At 59.7% G+C, this 23,134-nt stretch overlaps 2 long non-coding RNA genes across 4 annotated transcripts in view, besides 3 other annotated features; one reads left to right on the top strand and one right to left on the bottom strand.

The window, feature by feature from the left end:
- The window catches only part of CYKILR (cyclin dependent kinase inhibitor 2A regulated lncRNA), a gene marked incomplete at its 3' end in the record, with an annotated part of 52,208 nt that extends 39,234 nt beyond the window's left edge, over positions 1-12,974 (bottom strand). For 2 of the 3 annotated variants that reach the window (NR_199170.1, NR_199169.1), the window contains exon 1: positions 12,692-12,974. This is a non-coding gene — a long non-coding RNA (cyclin dependent kinase inhibitor 2A regulated lncRNA). 3 annotated transcript variants of the gene reach the window in all.
- Positions 2,150-2,754: an enhancer, noted in NCBI's record as "H3K27ac-H3K4me1 hESC enhancer chr19:36770206-36770810 (GRCh37/hg19 assembly coordinates)". NCBI's record gives its function as "activates a minimal SCP1, AML or CMV promoter by ChIP-STARR-seq in naive H9 embryonic stem cells {active_cell/tissue: H9 hESC(naive)}" and the evidence as "EXISTENCE:reporter gene assay evidence [ECO:0000049][PMID:30033119]".
- Positions 9,738-10,329: an enhancer, noted in NCBI's record as "H3K27ac-H3K4me1 hESC enhancer chr19:36762631-36763222 (GRCh37/hg19 assembly coordinates)". NCBI's record gives its function as "activates a minimal SCP1, AML or CMV promoter by ChIP-STARR-seq in naive H9 embryonic stem cells {active_cell/tissue: H9 hESC(naive)}" and the evidence as "EXISTENCE:reporter gene assay evidence [ECO:0000049][PMID:30033119]".
- Positions 12,808-13,385: an enhancer, noted in NCBI's record as "H3K27ac-H3K4me1 hESC enhancer chr19:36759575-36760152 (GRCh37/hg19 assembly coordinates)". NCBI's record gives its function as "activates a minimal SCP1, AML or CMV promoter by ChIP-STARR-seq in naive H9 embryonic stem cells {active_cell/tissue: H9 hESC(naive)}" and the evidence as "EXISTENCE:reporter gene assay evidence [ECO:0000049][PMID:30033119]".
- Positions 15,263-22,518, top strand: LOC124904707 (uncharacterized). The gene is made up of 2 exons (XR_007067246.1): positions 15,263-17,413; positions 19,198-22,518. It is a non-coding gene; the product is annotated as an uncharacterized LOC124904707 (long non-coding RNA).
- The last annotated feature ends 616 nt before the right edge of the window (positions 22,519-23,134 follow it).

Raw genomic sequence — 23,134 nt, 5'->3', positions numbered from 1 at the left:
GCTCGTCATCACAAGGGCTCCACTTTTGGGGAGACTCACCCGCACACCGTCCGCGCACGCCTGAGGCTGGGATCCCGCGCTGCCTCGCCGGCGATCTGTCTGAGGTTTCTTCCTCCTGGGGTTTCTTCCTGCTGCTGGACCCTCCGCGAATCCCGGCCTCCGGAGACCGTCCTGGTAACTGCCCTGGCCAGGACTGGTCTCAGCCCAGACTCAGACGCACGATCACACAGGGCTCCTACTTCCCCAAGTGTCAGGGACCCATCCCCGGGCAACGGTGGCTTTCACTGTGACCCAAGCGGCGGCTCGGGCCTCGCGCATGCGCGCTGGCGAGGCCGACTCCCCCGCTCCACCCCCCCTTACTCCGCAGAGTCAGGCTGCGGACCCTTTAAAAAATGGCGGCGACGCGGCGGCTGCGGGGCCTGGGGCGGCGGTGCTGGAGGTTGCGGCGGCGGCGGCGAAGGCGCAGCCCGAGGCGGCGGGTGGGAAGAGGACTGCCAGAGGGGCCTGCGGGAGACCCATGGTCGGACCCATGAGTCCTGTGGTGAGGACCTCCTTGATCGCTCTTCTGCTTCGGTTCCCACTGAAGGAGGAGCTTCGGGGTGCCGGCTGGGCTGCGCGGACTCCTCTTGGGGTCCGATGATGGATCCCAGCGGGTGATCGGGAATGGGGTTCCAATGCAGTGAGGCGGAAAGGGTCTCGCCGGGGCACAGGAAGATCCCCAGGGCCGCAAGGCGTGCTGTCGGCTGCAAAGGCACCGACCCATGAGCCCACTGCCTCCCTCCTTCCTGGCAGGAGCAGGGGCCTGCCTTCATCTCCAAGGCCCGAGGGCTCCGGCAACCCGAGGCGGCTTCCGGCGACACGGGCAAAGAGAGACAGAGGCGAGTCCGAGCTGGAGCCAGTGTGTCCACATGTGGCACTGTCGTCCCCCAAGAGCACATGCAGGCAGCGTGTGTCTTTGAGGCCGTAGGGGGCGACGACGAGACGGACAGTGATGTCCAGGCGTGCGCCCGGGGGGCCACTGGAGACCTGCCCCACAAAGCGGAGGAAAAGCCAAGCGCACCTGAAAACCTGCGAGACAGGGCCTGTGCGCGAGTCCACGCCACGTTCAGGGAGGCCCGCCAGAGGAGCCGAGAGGTTTGGACAAAGTACACCCCACCCCCAGCCCGCCGCCGGCTAGGTACCCCTGACGCAACCTCCCCTGCACCCAGCCAAAACCCAGTCCCGTTGGCTCCCTGACATCCGTGGCAGCCAAAAGATTCGGTGCTAGAAGGCACTTTCCCCAGGAGCGGAGGAAGCGGTTGGCCCTCAAGAATCAGAGAGGAAGTGCAGGTGGGATGCAACACCGCCTTTCCTAGAAGGCCAATGTCAGGAGCGGTGGGCTTGCCTCCGCCTCTTCCTGGACCGAGCGTGCAGCCATCACTTGGGCCATGGAGACCGAGAGAGCTTCCCTGTCCCACACAGGTATGGAAGCCCAGAGCTCCAGGATCACCACAGCTGCCCAATCATCCAGAAAGAGGTGTGGAGAGGGAAACAAGCATGACGCGGACCGCCACGAGGTTTCTCCCTGATGGACGGGGAAGTCTTCTTTGTGGAAGACACTGAGCCACACTAAGAAGCCGCCAGGCTTCTCAGAGGCGGGGCAGACACAGCAAGAGGGAGGTCAGAGCAGAGGCCAGAGCCCAGGCAGGATACGGGGGGGCCATGCCACCACCACCGGCATCCGGGGAGGAGTGTCAAACGGGTGACTCGGCCAGGAAGGCCAGCCTTTGAGAGACAGACATGCTTGCCCCATCCCCTTGCCGGCTTCCTTCTCCGTCCCTGCGTCGAGCTGTGGCTACATTTCTCGATGAGGGCAGAGGGCGACAGGCGTGACAACCACCTTCTTGAAGCTCTGCGGGCACCCTCCTGCGGGTGGACGATGAGCGCCTGGGAGGCCGTTGTCCTTGGTTGGGGAGCGCTCGTCTGGATCCAGCCTAGCAAAGAGGCTGCTCCGGATGGGGAGGGGATGAAAACCCCTGCGGGTCCGACGCCGATGCCCACGTTGCCCAGGCCTTCACAGACCCCCAAACTGGAACCGCCGGGACGACGACTGCCAACCGGCCACACGACCCAGGCAGAGACGCGGGGAGAGGCTGACCAGAAGAAAGGCCGACGTGCAAGAAACCCACCCTCCGGCGCACAGGGCACATGTGTCCCGAGGCGCACGCACACACAGACGGACAGAGACAGAAAGAGAGGGCCACGGAAAGAGCGAGAAGGGAGACAGAGAGAGAGAGAGAGAGAGAGAGAGAGAGAGAGAGAGAGACGTGAGAGAGAGACAGAAGTCGGCACACAGACAGGCACTGCGCGCGCACACACACAGACACACACACAGACGCACCCCCCCAACACACACACACACACACCCATGACGAACACACACGTACAGCAGGGAACACCCTCCCGCAGGCAGCCCCTGAAGCTGCCGGGTTCTGCTCTCCGCGACTGAGAGCCACCGGTGAGAGAGCAGCCCACGGGCACGCAGGCGGACCTGTGCTCGTCATCACAAGGGCTCCACTTTTGGGGAGACTCACCCGCACACCGTCCGCGCACGCCTGAGGCTGGGATCCCGCGCTGCCTCGCCGGCGATCTGTCTGAGGTTTCTTCCTCCTGGGGTTTCTTCCTGCTGCTGGACCCTCCGCGAATCCCGGCCTCCGGAGACCGTCCTGGTAACTGCCCTGGCCAGGACTGGTCTCAGCCCAGACTCAGACGTACGATCACACAGGGCTCCTACTTCCCCAAGTGTCAGGGACCCATCCCCGGGCAACGGTGGCTTTCACTGTGACCCAAGCGGCGGCTCGGGCCTCGCGCATGCGCGCTGGCGAGGCCGACTCCCCCGCTCCACCCCCCCTTACTCCGCAGAGTCAGGCTGCGGACCCTTTAAAAAATGGCGGCGACGCGGCGGCTGCGGGGCCTGGGGCGGCGGTGCTGGAGGTTGCGGCGGCGGCGGCGAAGGCGCAGCCCGAGGCGGCGGGTGGGGAGAGGACTGCCAGAGGGGCCTGCGGGAGACCCATGGTCGGACCCATGAGTCCTGTGGTGAGGACCTCCTTGATCGCTCTTCTGCTTCGGTTCCCACTGAAGGAGGAGCTTCGGGGTGCCGGCTGGGCTGCGCGGACTCCTCTTGGGGTCCGATGATGGATCCCAGCGGGTGATCGGGAATGGGGTTCCAATGCAGTGAGGCGGAAAGGGTCTCGCCGGGGCACAGGAAGATCCCCAGGGCCGCAAGGCGTGCTGTCGGCTGCAAAGGCACCGACCCATGAGCCCACTGCCTCCCTCCTTCCTGGCAGGAGCAGGGGCCTGCCTTCATCTCCAAGGCCCGAGGGCTCCGGCAACCCGAGGCGGCTTCCGGCGACACGGGCAAAGAGAGACAGAGGCGAGTCCGAGCTGGAGCCAGCGTGTCCACATGTGGCACTGTCGTCCCCCAAGAGCACATGCAGGCAGCGTGTGTCTTTGAGGCCGTAGGGGGCGACGACGAGACGGACAGTGATGTCCAGGCGTGCGCCCGGGGGGCCACTGGAGACCTGCCCCACAAAGCGGAGGAAAAGCCAAGCGCACCTGAAAACCTGCGAGACAGGGCCTGTGCGCGAGTCCACGCCACGTTCAGGGAGGCCCGCCAGAGGAGCCGAGAGGTTTGGACAAAGTACACCCCACCCCCAGCCCGCCGCCGGCTAGGTACCCCTGACGCAACCTCCCCTGCACCCAGCCAAAACCCAGTCCCGTTGGCTCCCTGACATCCGTGGCAGCCAAAAGATTCGGTGCTAGAAGGCACTTTCCCCAGGAGCGGAGGAAGCGGTTGGCCCTCAAGAATCAGAGAGGAAGTGCAGGTGGGATGCAACACCGCCTTTCCTAGAAGGCCAATGTCAGGAGCGGTGGGCTTGCCTCCGCCTCTTCCTGGACCGAGCGTGCAGCCATCACTTGGGCCATGGAGACCGAGAGAGCTTCCCTGTCCCACACAGGTATGGAAGCCCAGAGCTCCAGGATCACCACAGCTGCCCAATCATCCAGAAAGAGGTGTGGAGAGGGAAACAAGCATGACGCGGACCGCCACGAGGTTTCTCCCTGATGGACGGGGAAGTCTTCTTTGTGGAAGACACTGAGCCACACTAAGAAGCCGCCAGGCTTCTCAGAGACGGGGCAGACACAGCAAGAGGGAGGTCAGAGCAGAGGCCAGAGCCCAGGCAGGATACGGGGGGGCCATGCCACCACCACCGGCATCCGGGGAGGAGTGTCAAACGGGTGACTCGGCCAGGAAGGCCAGCCTTTGAGAGACAGACATGCTTGCCCCATCCCCTTGCCGGCTTCCTTCTCCGTCCCTGCGTCGAGCTGTGGCTACATTTCTCGATGAGGGCAGAGGGCGACAGGCGTGACAACCACCTTCTTGAAGCTCTGCGGGCACCCTCCTGCGGGTGGACGATGAGCGCCTGGGAGGCCGTTGTCCTTGGTTGGGGAGCGCTCGTCTGGATCCAGCCTAGCAAAGAGGCTGCTCCGGATGGGGAGGGGATGAAAACCCCTGCGGGTCCGACGCCGATGCCCACGTTGCCCAGGCCTTCACAGACCCCCAAACTGGAACCGCCGGGACGACGACTGCCAACCGGCCACACGACCCAGACAGAGACGCGGGGAGAGGCTGACCAGAAGAAAGGCCGACGTGCAAGAAACCCACCCTCCGGCGCACAGGGCACATGTGTCCCGAGGCGCACGCACACACAGACGGACAGAGACAGAAAGAGAGGGCCACGGAAAGAGCGAGAAGGGAGAGAGGGAGAGGGAGAGGGAGAGAGAGAGAGAGAGAGAGAGAGAGAGAGAGAGAGAGAGAGACGTGAGAGAGAGACAGAAGTCGGCACACAGACAGGCACTGCGCGCGCACACACACAGACACACACACAGACGCACCCCCCCCAACACACACACACACACACCCATGACGAACACACACGTACAGCAGGGAACACCCTCCCGCAGGCAGCCCCTGAAGCTGCCGGGTTCTGCTCTCCGCGACTGAGAGCCACCGGTGAGAGAGCAGCCCACGGGCACGCAGGCGGACCTGTGCTCGTCATCACAAGGGCTCCACTTTTGGGGAGACTCACCCGCACACCGTCCGCGCACGCCTGAGGCTGGGATCCCGCGCTGCCTCGCCGGCGATCTGTCTGAGGTTTCTTCCTCCTGGGGTTTCTTCCTGCTGCTGGACCCTCCGCGAATCCCGGCCTCCGGAGACCGTCCTGGTAACTGCCCTGGCCAGGACTGGTCTCAGCCCAGACTCAGACGCACGATCACACAGGGCTCCTACTTCCCCAAGTGTCAGGGACCCATCCCCGGGCAACGGTGGCTTTCACTGTGACCCAAGCGGCGGCTCGGGCCTCGCGCATGCGCGCTGGCGAGGCCGACTCCCCCGCTCCACCCCCCCTTACTCCGCAGAGTCAGGCTGCGGACCCTTTAAAAAATGGCGGCGACGCGGCGGCTGCGGGGCCTGGGGCGGCGGTGCTGGAGGTTGCGGCGGCGGCGGCGAAGGCGCAGCCCGAGGCGGCGGGTGGGAAGAGGACTGCCAGAGGGGCCTGCGGGAGACCCAGGGTCGGACCCATAGGAGTCCTGTGGTGAGGACCTCCTTGATCGCTCTTCTGCTTCGGTTCCCACTGAAGGAGGAGCTTCGGGGTGCCGGCTGGGCTGCGCGGACTCCTCTTGGGGTCCGATGATGGATCCCAGCGGGTGATCGGGAATGGGGTTCCAATGCAGTGAGGCGGAAAGGGTCTCGCCGGGGCACAGGAAGATCCCCAGGGCCGCAAGGCGTGCTGTCGGCTGCAAAGGCACCGACCCATGAGCCCACTGCCTCCCTCCTTCCTGGCAGGAGCAGGGGCCTGCCTTCATCTCCAAGGCCCGAGGGCTCCGGCAACCCGAGGCGGCTTCCGGCGACACGGGCAAAGAGAGACAGAGGCGAGTCCGAGCTGGAGCCAGTGTGTCCACATGTGGCACTGTCGTCCCCCAAGAGCACATGCAGGCAGCGTGTGTCTTTGAGGCCGTAGGGGGCGACGACGAGACGGACAGTGATGTCCAGGCGTGCGCCCGGGGGGCCACTGGAGACCTGCCCCACAAAGCGGAGGAAAAGCCAAGCGCACCTGAAAACCTGCGAGACAGGGCCTGTGCGCGAGTCCACGCCACGTTCAGGGAGGCCCGCCAGAGGAGCCGAGAGGTTTGGACAAAGTACACCCCACCCCCAGCCCGCCGCCGGCTAGGTACCCCTGACGCAACCTCCCCTGCACCCAGCCAAAACCCAGTCCCGTTGGCTCCCTGACATCCGTGGCAGCCAAAACATTCGGTGCTAGAAGGCACTTTCCCCAGGAGCGGAGGAAGCGGTTGGCCCTCAAGAATCAGAGAGGAAGTGCAGGTGGGATGCAACACCGCCTTTCCTAGAAGGCCAATGTCAGGAGCGGTGGGCTTGCCTCCGCCTCTTCCTGGACCGAGCGTGCAGCCATCACTTGGGCCATGGAGACCGAGAGAGCTTCCCTGTCCCACACAGGTATGGAAGCCCAGAGCTCCAGGATCACCACAGCTGCCCAATCATCCAGAAAGAGGTGTGGAGAGGGAAACAATCATGACGCGGACCGCCACGAGGTTTCTCCCTGATGGACGGGGAAGTCTTCTTTGTGGAAGACACTGAGCCACACTAAGAAGCCGCCAGGCTTCTCAGAGACGGGGCAGACACAGCAAGAGGGAGGTGAGAGCAGAGGCCAGAGCCCAGGCAGGATACGGGGGGGCCATGCCACCACCACCGGCATCCGGGGAGGAGTGTCAAACGGGTGACTCGGCCAGGAAGGCCAGCCTTTGAGAGACAGACATGCTTGCCCCATCCCCTTGCCGGCTTCCTTCTCCGTCCCTGCGTCGAGCTGTGGCTACATTTCTCGATGAGGGCAGAGGGCGACAGGCGTGACAACCACCTTCTTGAAGCTCTGCGGGCACCCTCCTGCGGGTGGACGATGAGCGCCTGGGAGGCCGTTGTCCTTGGTTGGGGAGCGCTCGTCTGGATCCAGCCTAGCAAAGAGGCTGCTCCGGATGGGGAGGGGATGAAAACCCCTGCGGGTCCGACGCCGATGCCCACGTTGCCCAGGCCTTCACAGACCCCCAAACTGGAACCGCCGGGACGACGACTGCCAACCGGCCACACGACCCAGGCAGAGACGCGGGGAGAGGCTGACCAGAAGAAAGGCCGACGTGCAAGAAACCCACCCTCCGGCGCACAGGGCACATGTGTCCCGAGGCGCACGCACACACAGACGGACAGAGACAGAAAGAGAGGGCCACGGAAAGAGCGAGAAGGGAGAGAGAGAGAGAGAGAGAGAGACAGAGAGAGAGAGAGAGAGAGAGAGAGACGTGAGAGAGAGACAGAAGTCGGCACACAGACAGGCACTGCGCGCGCACACACACAGACACACACACAGACGCACCCCCCCCAACACACACACACACACACCCATGACGAACACACACGTACAGCAGGGAACACCCTCCCGCAGGCAGCCCCTGAAGCTGCCGGGTTCTGCTCTCCGCGACTGAGAGCCACCGGTGAGAGAGCAGCCCACGGGCACGCAGGCGGACCTGTGCTCGTCATCACAAGGGCTCCACTTTTGGGGAGACTCACCCGCACACCGTCCGCGCACGCCTGAGGCTGGGATCCCGCGCTGCCTCGCCGGCGATCTGTCTGAGGTTTCTTCCTCCTGGGGTTTCTTCCTGCTGCTGGACCCTCCGCGAATCCCGGCCTCCGGAGACCGTCCTGGTAACTGCCCTGGCCAGGACTGGTCTCAGCCCAGACTCAGACGCACGATCACACAGGGCTCCTACTTCCCCAAGTGTCAGGGACCCATCCCCGGGCAACGGTGGCTTTCACTGTGACCCAAGCGGCGGCTCGGGCCTCGCGCATGCGCGCTGGCGAGGCCGACTCCCCCGCTCCACCCCCCCTTACTCCGCAGAGTCAGGCTGCGGACCCTTTAAAAAATGGCGGCGACGCGGCGGCTGCGGGGCCTGGGGCGGCGGTGCTGGAGGTTGCGGCGGCGGCGGCGAAGGCGCAGCCCGAGGCGGCGGGTGGGAAGAGGACTGCCAGAGGGGCCTGCGGGAGACCCATGGTCGGACCCATGAGTCCTGTGGTGAGGACCTCCTTGATCGCTCTTCTGCTTCGGTTCCCACTGAAGGAGGAGCTTCGGGGTGCCGGCTGGGCTGCGCGGACTCCTCTTGGGGTCCGATGATGGATCCCAGCGTGTGATCGGGAATGGGGTTCCAATGCAGTGAGGCGGAAAGGGTCTCGCCGGGGCACAGGAAGATCCCCAGGGCCGCAAGGCGTGCTGTCGGCTGCAAAGGCACCGACCCATGAGCCCACTGCCTCCCTCCTTCCTGGCAGGAGCAGGGGCCTGCCTTCATCTCCAAGGCCCGAGGGCTCCGGCAACCCGAGGCGGCTTCCGGCGACACGGGCAAAGAGAGACAGAGGCGAGTCCGAGCTGGAGCCAGTGTGTCCACATGTGGCACTGTCGTCCCCCAAGAGCACATGCAGGCAGCGTGTGTCTTTGAGGCCGTAGGGGGCGACGACGAGACGGACAGTGATGTCCAGGCGTGCGCCCGGGGGGCCACTGGAGACCTGCCCCACAAAGCGGAGGAAAAGCCAAGCGCACCTGAAAACCTGCGAGACAGGGCCTGTGCGCGAGTCCACGCCACGTTCAGGGAGGCCCGCCAGAGGAGCCGAGAGGTTTGGACAAAGTACACCCCACCCCCAGCCCGCCGCCGGCTAGGTTCCCCTGACGCAACCTCCCCTGCACCCAGCCAAAACCCAGTCCCGTTGGCTCCCTGACATCCGTGGCAGCCAAAAGATTCGGTGCTAGAAGGCACTTTCCCCAGGAGCGGAGGAAGCGGTTGGCCCTCAAGAATCAGAGAGGAAGTGCAGGTGGGATGCAACACCGCCTTTCCTAGAAGGCCAATGTCAGGAGCGGTGGGCTTGCCTCCGCCTCTTCCTGGACCGAGCGTGCAGCCATCACTTGGGCCATGGAGACCGAGAGAGCTTCCCTGTCCCACACAGGTATGGAAGCCCAGAGCTCCAGGATCACCACAGCTGCCCAATCATCCAGAAAGAGGTGTGGAGAGGGAAACAAGCATGACGCGGACCGCCACGAGGTTTCTCCCTGATGGACGGGGAAGTCTTCTTTGTGGAAGACACTGAGCCACACTAAGAAGCCGCCAGGCTTCTCAGAGACGGGGCAGACACAGCAAGAGGGAGGTCAGAGCAGAGGCCAGAGCCCAGGCAGGATACGGGGGGGCCATGCCACCACCACCGGCATCCGGGGAGGAGTGTCAAACGGGTGACTCGGCCAGGAAGGCCAGCCTTTGAGAGACAGACATGCTTGCCCCATCCCCTTGCCGGCTTCCTTCTCCGTCCCTGCGTCGAGCTGTGGCTACATTTCTCGATGAGGGCAGAGGGCGACAGGCGTGACAACCACCTTCTTGAAGCTCTGCGGGCACCCTCCTGCGGGTGGACGATGAGCGCCTGGGAGGCCGTTGTCCTTGGTTGGGGAGCGCTCGTCTGGATCCAGCCTAGCAAAGAGGCTGCTCCGGATGGGGAGGGGATGAAAACCCCTGCGGGTCCGACGCCGATGCCCACGTTGCCCAGGCCTTCACAGACCCCCAAACTGGAACCGCCGGGACGACGACTGCCAACCGGCCACACGACCCAGGCAGAGACGCGGGGAGAGGCTGACCAGAAGAAAGGCCGACGTGCAAGAAACCCACCCTCCGGCGCACAGGGCACATGTGTCCCGAGGCGCACGCACACACAGACGGACAGAGACAGAAAGAGAGGGCCACGGAAAGAGCGAGAAGGGAGAGAGAGAGAGAGAGAGAGACCTGAGAGAGAGACAGAAGTCCGCACACAGACAGGCACTGCGCGCGCACACACACAGACGCACCCCCCCCAACACACAAACACACACACCCATGACGAACACACACGTACAGCAGGGAACACCCTCCCGCAGGCAGCCCCTGAAGCTGCCGGGTTCTGCTCTCCGCGACTGAGAGCCAGCGGTGAGAGAGCCGCCCACGGGCACGCAGGCGGACCTGTGCTCGTCATCACAAGGGCTCCACTTTTGGGGAGACTCACCCGCACACCGTCCGCGCACGCCTGAGGCTGGGATCCCGCGCTGCCTCGCCGGCGATCTGTCTGAGGTTTCTTCCTCCTGGGGTTTCTTCCTGCTGCTGGACCCTCCGCGAATCCCGGCCTCCGGAGACCGTCCTGGTAACTGCCCTGGCCAGGACTGGTCTCAGCCCAGACTCAGACGCACGATCACACAGGGCTCCTACTTCCCCAAGTGTCAGGGACCCATCCCCGGGCAACGGTGGCTTTCACTGTGACCCAAGCGGCGGCTCGGGCCTCGCGCATGCGCGCTGGCGAGGCCGACTCCCCCGCTCCACCCCCCCTTACTCCGCAGAGTCAGGCTGCGGACCCTTTAAAAAATGGCGGCGACGCGGCGGCTGCGGGGCCTGGGGCGGCGGTGCTGGAGGTTGCGGCGGCGGCGGCGAAGGCGCAGCCCGAGGCGGCGGGTGGGAAGAGGACTGCCAGAGGGGCCTGCGGGAGACCCAGGGTCGGACCCATAGGAGTCCTGTGGTGAGGACCTCCTTGAACGCTCTTCTGCTTCGGTTCCCGCTGAAGGAGGAGCTTCGGGGTGCCGGCTGGGCTGCGCGGACTCCTCTTGGGGTCCGATGATGGATCCCAGCGGGTGATCGGGAATGGGGTTCCAATGCAGTGAGGCGGAAAGGGTCTCGCCGGGGCACAGGAAGATCCCCAGGGCCGCAAGGCGTGCTGTCGGCTGCAAAGGCACCGACCCATGAGCCCACTGCCTCCCTCCTTCCTGGCAGGAGCAGGGGCCTGCCTTCATCTCCAAGGCCCGAGGGCTCCGGCAACCCGAGGCGGCTTCCGGCGACACGGGCAAAGAGAGACAGAGGCGAGTCCGAGCTGGAGCCAGTGTGTCCACATGTGGCACTGTCGTCCCCCAAGAGCACATGCAGGCAGCGTGTGTCTTTGAGGCCGTAGGGGGCGACGACGAGACGGACAGTGATGTCCAGGCGTGCGCCCGGGGGGCCACTGGAGACCTGCCCCACAAAGCGGAGGAAAAGCCAAGCGCACCTGAAAACCTGCGAGACAGGGCCTGTGCGCGAGTCCACGCCACGTTCAGGGAGGCCCGCCAGAGGAGCCGAGAGGTTTGGACAAAGTACACCCCACCCCCAGCCCGCCGCCGGCTAGGTACCCCTGACGCAACCTCCCCTGCACCCAGCCAAAACCCAGTCCCGTTGGCTCCCTGACATCCGTGGCAGCCAAAACATTCGGTGCTAGAAGGCACTTTCCCCAGGAGCGGAGGAAGCGGTTGGCTCTCAAGAATCAGAGAGGAAGTGCAGGTGGGATGCAACACCGCCTTTCCTAGAAGGCCAATGTCAGGAGCGGTGGGCTTGCCTCCGCCTCTTCCTGGACCGAGCGTGCAGCCATCACTTGGGCCATGGAGACCGAGAGAGCTTCCCTGTCCCACACAGGTATGGAAGCCCAGAGCTCCAGGATCACCACAGCTGCCCAATCATCCAGAAAGAGGTGTGGAGAGGGAAACAAGCATGACGCGGACCGCCACGAGGTTTCTCCCTGATGGACGGGGAAGTCTTCTTTGTGGAAGACACTGAGCCACACTAAGAAGCCGCCAGGCTTCTCAGAGACGGGGCAGACACAGCAAGAGGGAGGTCAGAGCAGAGGCCAGAGCCCAGGCAGGATACGGGGGGGCCATGCCACCACCACCGGCATCCGGGGAGGAGTGTCAAACGGGTGACTCAGCCAGGAAGGCCAGCCTTTGAGAGACAGACATGCTTGCCCCATCCCCTTGCCGGCTTCCTTCTCCGTCCCTGCGTCGAGCTGTGGCTACATTTCTCGATGAGGGCAGAGGGCGACAGGCGTGACAACCACCTTCTTGAAGCTCTGCGGGCACCCTCCTGCGGGTGGACGATGAGCGCCTGGGAGGCCGTTGTCCTTGGTTGGGGAGCGCTCGTCTGGATCCAGCCTAGCAAAGAGGCTGCTCCGGATGGGGAGGGGATGAAAACCCCTGCGGGTCCGACGCCGATGCCCACGTTGCCCAGGCCTTCACAGACCCCCAAACTGGAACCGCCGGGACGACGACTGCCAACCGGCCACACGACCCAGGCAGAGACGCGGGGAGAGGCTGACCAGAAGAAAGGCCGACGTGCAAGAAACCCACCCTCCGGCGCACAGGGCACATGTGTCCCGAGGCGCACGCACACACAGACGGACAGAGACAGAAAGAGAGGGCCACGGAAAGAGCGAGAAGGGAGAGAGGGAGAGGGAGAGAGAGAGAGAGAGAGAGAGAGAGAGACGTGAGAGAGAGACAGAAGTCGACACACAGACAGGCACTGCGCGCGCACACACACAGACGCACCCCCCCCAACACACACACACACACACCCATGACGAACACACACGTACAGCAGGGAACACCCACCCGCAGGCAGCCCCTGAAGCTGCCGGGTTCTGCTCTCCGCGACTGAGAGCCACCGGTGAGAGAGCAGCCCACGGGCACGCAGGCGGACCTGTGCTCGTCATCACAAGGGCTCCACTTTTGGGGAGACTCACCCGCACACCGTCCGCGCACGCCTGAGGCTGGGATCCCGCGCTGCCTCGCCGGCGATCTGTCTGAGGTTTCTTCCTCCTGGGGTTTCTTCCTGCTGCTGGACCCTCCGCGAATCCCGGCCTCCGGAGACCGTCCTGGTAACTGCCCTGGCCAGGACTGGTCTCAGCCCAGACTCAGACGCACGATCACACAGGGCTCCTACTTCCCCAAGTGTCAGGGACCCATCCCCGGGCAACGGTGGCTTTCACTGTGACCCAAGCGGCGGCTCGGGCCTTGCGCATGCGCGCTGGCGAGGCCGACTCCCCCGCTCCACCCGCCCTTACTTCGCAGAGTCAGGCTGCGGACCCTTTAAAAAATGGCGGCGACGCGGCGGCTGCGGGGCCTGGGGCGGCGGTGCTGGAGGTTGCGGCGGCGGCGGCGAAGGCGCAGCCCGAGGCGGCGGGTGGGAAGAGGACTGCCAGAGGGGCCTGCGGGAGACCCAGGGTCGGACCCATAGGAGTCCTGTGGTGAGGACCTCCTTGATCGCTCTTCTGCTTCGGTTCCCGCTGAAGGAGGAGCTTCGGGGTGCCGGCTGGGCTGCGCGGACTCCTCTTGGGGTCCGATGATGGATCCCAGCGGGTGATCGGGAATGGGGTTCCAATGCAGTGAGGCGGAAAGGGTCTCGCCGGGGCACAGGAAGATCCCCAGGGCCGCAAGGCGTGCTGTTGGCTGCAAAGGCACCGACCCATGAGCCCGCTGCCTCCCTCCTTCCTGGCAGGAGCAGGGGCCTGCCTTCATCTCCAAGGCCCGAGGGCTCCGGCATCCCGACGCGGCTTCCGGCGACACGGGCAAAGAGAGACAGAGGCGAGTCCGAGCTGGAGCCAGTGTGTCCACATGTGGCACTGTCGTCCCCCAAGAGCACATGCAGGCAGCGTGTGTCTTTGAGGCCGTAGGGGGCGACGACGAGACGGACAGTGATGTCCAGGCGTGCGCCCGTGGGCCACGGGAGACGTCAGCCACAAAGCTGAAGAAAAGCCAAGGGCAGCTGAAAACCTGCGAGACAGGGCCCGCGTCCGAATCCAAGCCACATTCAGGGATGCCTGCCAGAGGGGCCGAGAGGTTTCCACAAATTTCACCCCACTCCCACCCCCACCCCGCCACGGGGTAGGTACCCATGACGCCACCTCCCCTGCACCCAGCAAAACCCAGTCCCTTTGGCTCCCTGACATCCATGGCAGCCAGAAGATTCAGCGCTAGAAGCCTCCTTCCCCAGGAGCAGAGGAACCCGATGGCCCTCAAGAATCAGAGAGGAAGTGCAGGTGGCATGCCACACCACCTTTCCTAGAAGGCAAATGTCAGGAACGGTCGGGTTACCTCCCGCTCTTCCTGGACCGGCCACGCAGCCATCACTTGGGTCACGGAGACTCAGAAAGCTTCCCCGTCCCAGACAGCTATGGAAGCCCATAGCTCCAGGATCACCACACCTGCCCAATCATGCTGAAAGAGGTTTGGAGAGGGAAACAATCATGACACCGACCCCCAGGAACTTTCTCCCGGATGTACTGGGAAGAGTTCTGGGTTGAAGACATTGAGCCAGACTAAGAAGCCCCTAGGCTTCTCAGAAATAGGGCAGGCGGAGCAAGAGGGAGGACAGAGCAGAGGCCAGAGCCCAGGCAGGATTGGCCGCAATGCCACCACCACGGCCATCCGCGGAGGAGTGCCAAACCGGTGACTTGGCCACGAAGGCCAGCGTCTGACCCACAGAGATGTTTGCCCCATCCCGTTGCCGGCTTCCTCCTCCGTCTCTGTGTCGAGCCGTGGCTAGATTTCTCAAGGAGGGCAAAGGGCAAGAGGAGTGAGAAGCGTCTTCTTCAAGATCTGTGGGCACCCTCCTGCTGGTGGACAATGAGCCCCTCTGAGTCCTTCGTCCTTGGTTGGGGTGTGTTCGTCTGGATCCCAGCAAAGAGGCTGCTCAGGATAGGGAGGGGATGAAAACCCCTGCGGGTCCGACGCAGGTGCCCACGTTGCCCAGGCCTTCACAAACCCAAACTGGAACCGCCGGGAAAACGACTGCCAACGGGCCACACGACGCAGGAAGAGACCCGGGGAGAGGCTGACCACAAGAAAGGCTGATGTGCAAGAAACCACCCTCCGGCGCAAAGGGCACCTGTGTCCCAGCAAACACGCACGCACAGACGGACAGAGATAGTAACAGAGAGCGACGGAAAGAGTGAGAAGCGAGAGAGAGAGATATCAGAGAGAGACATAAGTGGGCACACAGACACACAGACACACACACACACACACACCCCTAAGCACAAACACATACAGCAGGTAACACCCAGCCCCAGGCAGCCCCTGAAGCTGCCGGGTTCTGCTCTCCGCGACTACAACCCAGAGGTGAAAGAGCAGCCCACGGGCACACGGGCAGACCTGTCCTCGACATCACAAGGGCACCACTTTTGGGGAGACTCACGGGCACACCGTCCGCGCACACCTGAGGCTGGGATCCCGCGCTGCCTCCCCGGCGATCCGTCTGAGGTTTCTTCCTCCTGAGGCTTCTCCCTGCTGGTCGACCCTCCGCGAATCCCGGCCTCCGGAGACCATCCTGTTAACGCCCTGGCCAGGACTGGTCTCAGGCACGACTCTGACGCACGGTCACACAGGTCTCCTACTTGGCCCAGTCTCAGGAATCCACCCCGGTGCAACGGTGGTGATCACTGACGCAAGTGGCGGCTCGGGCCTCGCGCATGCGCACTGGAGAGGCCGACTCTCCCCTCGCTCGGGAGAGGCAGGCTGCGGACCCTTTAAAAAATGGCGGCGACACGGCAGGTTGCTGGGACCGGGGCGGCGGTGGCGGCGGTGGCGCGCTTGCGGCGGCGGGTGGGAAGAGGACTGCCAGAGGGGCCTGCGGGAGACCCAGGGTCGGACCAGTAGGAGTCCTGTCCTCAGGACCTCCTTGATCGGTCTTCTGCTTCGGTTCCCGGTGGAGGAGGAGCTTCAGGGTGCCGGCTTGGCTGTGCGGACTCCTCTTCAGATCCGACTATGGATCCCACCGGGTGATCGGGAATGGGGTTGCAATGCAGTGAGGCGGGAAGGGTCTCGCTGGGGCACAGAAAGATCCCCAGGGCCGCAAGGCGTGCTGTCGGCGGAAAATGAACTGACCCACGAGCCCACTGCCTCCCTCCTTCCTGGGTGGAGCAGTGGCCTGCCTTCATCTCCAAGGCCCGGGGGCTCGGGCATCCCGACACTGCTTTCCACGACACATGCAAAGACAGACAGAGGCGAGTCTGAGATGGAGCCAGTGTGACCACCCGTGGCACTGACGTCGCCCAAGAGCGGATGGAGTGAGCGGGTGTCTTTGAGGCCGTAGGGGGCGTGGCGAGACGGACAATGATGTCCAGCCGTGCGCCCGTGGGCCACGGGAGACCTCGGCCACAAAGCTGAAGAAAAGCCAAGCGCAGCTGAAAACTTGCGAGACAGGGCCTGCGACCGAATCCAAGCCACATTCAGGGATGCCTGCCAGAGGGGCCGAGAGGTTTCCACAAATTTCACCCCACTCCCACCCCCACCCTGCCACCGGGTACGTACCCGTGATGCCACCTCCCCTGCACCCAGCAAAACCCAGTCCCTTTGGCTCCCTGACATCCGTGGCAGCCAGAAGATTCAGCGCTAGAAGCCTCTTTTCCCAGGAGCAGAGGAACCCGATGGCCCTCAAGAATCAGAGAGGAAGTGCAGGTGGCATGCCACACTGCCTTTCCTAGAAGGCAAATGTCAGGAATGGTCGGGTTGCCTCCCGCTCTTCCTGGACGGACCACGCAGCCATCACTTGGGCCACAGAGACCCAGAAAGCTTCCCTGTCCCAGACAGCTATAGAAGCCCAGAGCTCCAGGATCACCACACCTGCCCAATCATGCTTAAAGAGGTTTGGAGAGGGAAACAATCATGACACCGACCCCCAGGAACTTTCTCCCGGATGGACTGGGAAGTCTTTTGGGTTGAAGACATTGAGGCAGACCAAGAAGCCCCTAGGCTTCTCAGAAACAGGGCAGGCAGAGCAAGAGGGAGGACAGAGCAGAGGCCAGAGCCCAGGCATGACTGGCGGCAATCCCACAACCAGGGCCATCCAGGGAGGAGTGCCAAATGGGTGACTTTGCCTGGAAGGCCAGTGTCAGGCCTCTGAGCCCAAGCCAATCCATCGCATCCCCTGTGACTTGAACATATACACCAGATGGTCTGAAGTAACTGAAGATCCACAAAAGACATCAAAATAGCCTTAACTGATGACATTCTACCATTGTGATTTGTTCCTTCCCCACCCTATCTGATCAATGTACTTTGTAATCTCCCCCACCCTTAAGATGTTTCTTTGTAATTCTCCCCACCCTTGAGAATGTACTTTGTGAGATCGACCCCTGTCCGCAAAACATTGCTATCAACTTCACCACCTATCCCAAAACCTATAAGAACTAATGGTAATCCATCTCCCTTTGCTGACTCTCTTTTCAGACTCAGCCCACCTGCACCCAGTTGAAATAAACAGCCATGTTGCTCACACAAAGCCTGTTTGGTGGTCTCTTCACATGGACGGGCATGAAATTTGGTGCCGTGACTCGGATCGGGGGACCTCCCTTAGGAGATCAATCCCCCATCCTCCTGCTCTTTGCTCCGTGAGAGAGATCCACCTATGAGCTCAGGTCCTCAGACTCACCAGCCCAAGAAACATCTCACCAATTTCACTTCCGGTAAGCGGCCTCTTTTTACTCTCCAACTTCTCTCACTATCCCTCCAACCTCTTTCTCCTTTCAATCTTGGCACCACACTTCAATCTCTCCCATCTCTTAATTTCAATTCCTTTCATTTTCTATTAGATACAAAGGAGACACGTTTTATCCGTGGACCCAAAACTCCGGCGCCGGTCACGGACTGGGAAGGCAGGCTTCCCTTGGTGTTTAATCATTGCAGGCCCACCTCTCTGATTATTCACCCATGTTTCAAAGGTGTCAGACCATGCAGGGACGCCTGCCTTGGTCCTTCACCCTTAGCGGCAAGTCCCGCTTTTCTGGGGGAGGGGCAAGTACCCCAACCCCTTCTCTCCGTGTCTCTACCCCTTCTCTGCTCTTCTGGGGCAGGAGCAAGAACCCCTCAACCCCTTCTCCTTCACCCTTAGTGGCAAGTCCCACTTTTCTAGGGGACGGGCAAGTACCCCAACCCCTTCTGTGTCTCTACCCCTTCTCTGCTTTTCTGGGGTAGGGGCAAGTACCCCTCAACCCCTTCTCCTTCACCCTTAGCAGCAAGTCCCACTTTTCTAGGTGGCAAGAATCCCCAATCCCTTATTTCCACGCTACAACCCCTTTCCCACTTTTCTGGAGGGTGAGAACCCCTGAACCCCTTCCCTCCCTCTCTCTATGCTCTCTTTGCTCTGGGCTTGCCTCCCTCACTATGGGCAACCTTCCACCCTCCATTCCTCCTTTTTCTCCCTTAGCCTGTATTCTTAAGAACTTATAAACCTCTGCAACTCTCACCTGACCTAAAATCTAAGCGTCTTATTTTCTTCTGCAATGCTGCCTGACCCCAATACAAACTCCACAGTAGTTCCAAATAGCCCAAAAATGGCACTTTCAATCTTTCCACCCTACAAGATCTAAATAATTCTTGTCATAGAATGGGCAAATGGTCTGAGGAGGCCTGATGTCCAGGCATTCTTTCACACATCAGTCCCTTCCTAGTCTCTGTGCCCAGTGCAACTGCTCCCAAATCTTCTTTCTTTCCCTCCCACCTGTCCCCTCAGTCCCAACCCCAAGTGTCGCTGAGTCTTTGTAATCTTCCTTTTCTACAGACCCATCTGACCTCTCCCCTCCTCGCCAGGCCGAGCTAGGTCCTAATTCTTCCTCAGCCTCTGCTCCTCCATCCTGTAATCTTTTTATCGCCTTCCCTCCTCACACCTGGTCCAGCTTACACTTTCGTTCTGTTACTAGCCCTCTCCACCTGCCCAGCAATTTACTGTTTAAAAGGTGGCTGGAGCCAAAGGCATAGTCAAGGTTAATACTCCTTTCTCTTTATCCCAAATCAGAAGCGTTTAGGCTCTTTTTCATCAAATATAAAAACACAGCCCAGTTCATGGCTCGTTCGGCAGCAACCCTGAGACGCTTTACAGCCCTAAACCCTAAAAGGTCAAAAGGCCATCTTATTCTCAATATACATTTTATTACCCAAACTGCTCCCGACATTAAATAAAACTCCAAAAATTGGAATCTGGCCCTCAAACCCCACAACAGGACTTAATTAACCTCACCTTCAAGGTGTACAATAATAAAAAAAAAGTTGCAATTCCTTGCCTCCACTGTGAGACAAACCCCAGCTACATCTCCAGCACACAAGAACTTCCAAACGCTTGAACCGCAGCCGCCAGGCGTTCCTCCAGAACCTCCTCCCCCAGGAGCTTGCTATAAGTGCCAGAAATCTGACCACCAGGCCAAGGAATGCCTGCAGTCCAGGATTCCTCCTAAGCCATGTCCCATCTGTGCAGGAACCCACTGGAAATCGGACTGTTCAACTCACCTGGCAGCCACTCCCAGAGCCCCTGGAACTCTGGCCCAAAGCTCTCTGACTGACTCCTTGGCTTAGCGGCTGAAGATTGATGCTGCCTGATCTCCTCGGAAGCCCCGTAGACCATCACAGACGCCGAGATTTTGGTAACTCTCACAGTGGAGGGTAAGTCCGTCCCCTTCTTAATCAATACGGAGGCTACCCACTCCACATTACTTTCTTTTCAAAGGCCTGTTTCCCTTGCCTCCATAACTGTTGTAGGTATTGACAGCCAGGCTTCTAAACCTCTTAAAACTCCCCAGCTCTGGTGCCAACTTAGACAATATTCTTTTATGCACTCTTTTTTAGTTATCCCCCTCTGCCCAGTTCCCTTATTAGGCCGAGATATTTTAACAAAATTATCTGCTTCCCTGACTATTCCTGGACTACAGCTGCATCTCATTGCCGCCCTTCTTCCCAATCCAAAGCCTCCTTTGCATCCTCCTCTTGTATCCCCCCACCTTAACCCACAAGTATAAGATACCCCTACTCCCTCCTTGGTGACCGATCATGCACCCCTTACCATCTCATTAAAACCTAATCACCCTTTTACCCCACTCAATGTCAAGATCCCATCCCACAGCATGCTTTGAAAGGATTAAAGCCTGTTATCACTCACCTGCTACAGCATGGCCTTTTAAAGCCTATAAACTCTCCTTACAATTCCCCCATTTTACCTGTCCTAAAACCAGACAAGGCTTACAAGTTAGTCCAGAATCTGCGCCTTATCAACCAAATTGTTTTGCCTATCCACCCCATGGTGCCAAACCCATGTACTCTCCTGTCCTCAGTACCTCCCTCTGCTACCCATTATTCTGTTCTGGATCTCAAACATGCTTTCTTTCCTATTCCTTTGCACCCGTCATCCCAGCCTCTCTTCCCTTTCACTTGGACTTACCCTGACACCCATCAGGCTCAGCAAATTACCTGGGCTGTACTGCCGCAAGGCTTCACAGACAGACCCCATTACTTCAGTCAAGCCCAAATTTCATCCTCATCTGTTACCTATCTCAGCATAATTCTCGGAAAAACACACGTGCTCTCTCTGCTGATCGTGTCCAGTTAATCTCCCCAAACCTCAATCCCTTACAAAACAACAACTCCTTTCCTTCCTAGGCATGGTTTGTGTGTCAGAATTCTTACACAAGAGCCAGGACTGCACCCTGTAGCCTTTCTGTCCAAACAACTTGACCTTACTGTTTTAGCCTAGCCCTCATGTCTGTGTGCAGCGGCTGCCACTGCTTTAATACTTTTAGAGGCCCTCAAAATCACAAACTATGCTCAACTCACTCTCTACATTTCTCATAACTTCCAAAATCTATTTTCTTCCTCATACCTGATGCATATACTTTCTGCTCCCTGACTCCTTCAGCTGTACTCACTCTTTGTTAAGTCCCACAATTACCATTGTTCCTGGCACAGACTTCAATCCAGCCTCCCACATTATTCCTGATACCACACCTGACCCCCATGACTATCTCTCTCATCCACCTGACATTCATCCCATTTCCCCATATTTCCTTCTTTCCTGTTCCTGACCCTGATCACACTTGATTTATTGATGGCAGTTCCACCAGGCCTAATCGCCACACACCAGCAAAGGCAGGCTATGCTATAGTACAAGCCACTATCCCTCCTCTTAGAACCTCTCGTTTCCTTTCCATTGTGGAAATCTATCCCCAAGGAAATAACTTCTCAGTGTTCCATCTGCTATTCTACTACTCCTCAGGAATTATTCAGGCCCCCTCCTTTCCCTACACATCAAGCTTGAAGATTTGCCCCCACCCAGGACTGGCAAATTAGCTTTACTCAACATGCCCCAAGTCAGATAACTAAAATACCTCTTAGTCTAAGTAGACACTTTCACTAGATAAGTAGAGGCCTTTCCTACAGGGTCTGAGAAGGCCACCACAGTCATTTCTTCCCTTCTGTCAGACATAATTCCTCAGTTTAGCCTTCCCACCTCAATACAGTCTGGTAACAGACCAGCCTTTAGTAGTCAAATCAGCCAAGCAGTTTTTCAGGCTCTTAGTATTCAGTAAAACTTTTATATCCCTTATGGTCCTCTGTCTTCAAGAAAAGTAGAACTGACTAAAGGTCTTTTAAAAACACACCTCACCAAGCTCAGCCACCAACTTAAAAAGGACTGGAAAGTACTTTTACCACTTTCCCTTCTCAGAAGTCAGACCTGTCGTCAGAATGCTGCAAGGTGCAGCGCATTTAAGCTCCTGTATAGACGCTCCTTTTTATTAGGCCCCAGTCTCATTTGACACCAGACCAACTTAGACTGTGCCCCAAAAAAACTTGCCATCCCTACTATCTTCTCTCTAGTCATACTCCTATTCACCGTTCTCAACTACTCATACATGCCCTGTTCTTGTTTACACTGCCAGTTTACACTGTTTCTCCAAGCCATCACAGCTGATATCTCCTGGTGCCATCCCCAAACTGCCACTCTAAACTCTTGAAGTAAATAAATAATCTTTGCTGGCAGGACTATGCTGAATCTCCTTAGGCACTCTCTAATCAGATGTCCTAGGTCCTCCCAATTCTTAGACCTTTTATACCTGTTTTTCTCCTTCTCTTTTTCCATTTAGTTTCTCAATCCATCCAAAACCGTATGCAGGTCATCACCAATAATTCTATATGACAAATGTTTCTTCTAACATCCCCACAATATCACCCCTTTCCACAAGATCTCCCTTCAGCTTAATCTCTCCCACTCTAGCTTCCCACGCCACCCCAATCCCGCTTGAAGCAGCCCTGAGAAACATCGCCCATTCTCTCTTCATACCACCCCCCAAAAATTTTCACCGCCCCAATACTTCAACACTATTTTATTTTTCTTATTAATATAAGAAGGCAGGAATGTCCAGCCTCTGAGCCCAAGCCAAGCCATCGCATCTCCTGTGACTTGCACGTATACACCCAGATGGCCTGAAGTAACTGAAGATCCACAAAAGAAGTCAAAATAGCTTTAAGTGATTACATTCCATCATTGTGATTTGTTCCTGCCCCACCCTAACTGATCAATGTACTCCGTAATATCCCCCACCCTTAAGAAGGCTCTTTGAAATTCTTCCCACCCTTGAGAATATACTTTGTGAGATCCACCCCTGCCCGCAAAACATGGCTCTTAACTTCACCGCCTAACCCAAAACCTACAAGAACTAATGATAATCCATCTCCCTTCATTGACTCTCTTTTCGGACTCAGCCGGCGTGCACCGAGGTGAAATAAACAGCCATGTTGCTCACACAAAGCCTGTTTGGTGGTCTCTTCACACGGACGCGCACCGACGTCCCCCAAGAGCAGATGGAGTGAGCGGGTGTCTTTGAGGCCGTAGGGGGTGAGGGTGAGACGGACAGTGATGTCCAGCCGTGCGCCCGGGGGGCCACTGGAGACCTCCACCACAAAGCTGAGGAAAAGCCAAGCACACCTGAAAACCTGCGAGACAGGGCCTGTGCAGGAATCCAAGCCACATTCAGGGATGCCTGCCAGAGGGGCTGAGAGGTTTCCACGAACTACACCCCACCCCAACCCCGCCACCGGGTAGGTACCCCCGACCCCACCACCCTTGCACCCAGCAAAACCCAGTCCCTTTGGCTTCCTGACATCCGTGGCAGCCAGAAGATTCAGTGCTAGAAGCCTCTTTCCCCAGGAGCAGAGGAACCCGATGGCCCTCAAGAATCAGAGAGGAAGTGCAGGTGGCATGCCACACCGCCTTTCCTAGAAGGCAAATGTCAGGAACGGTCGGGTTGCCTCCCGCTCTTCCTGGACCGACCACGGGGCAACAGAGACCCAGAAAGCTTCCCTGTCCCAGACAGCTATGGAAGCCCAGAGCTCCAGGATCACCACACCTGCCCAATTATGCTGAA

This window comes from Homo sapiens, chromosome 19, assembly GCF_000001405.40.
Source record: "Homo sapiens chromosome 19, GRCh38.p14 Primary Assembly".
Classification (NCBI taxonomy): domain Eukaryota; kingdom Metazoa; phylum Chordata; class Mammalia; order Primates; family Hominidae; genus Homo; species Homo sapiens.
This window is presented reverse-complemented; position numbering and strand designations above follow the sequence as displayed.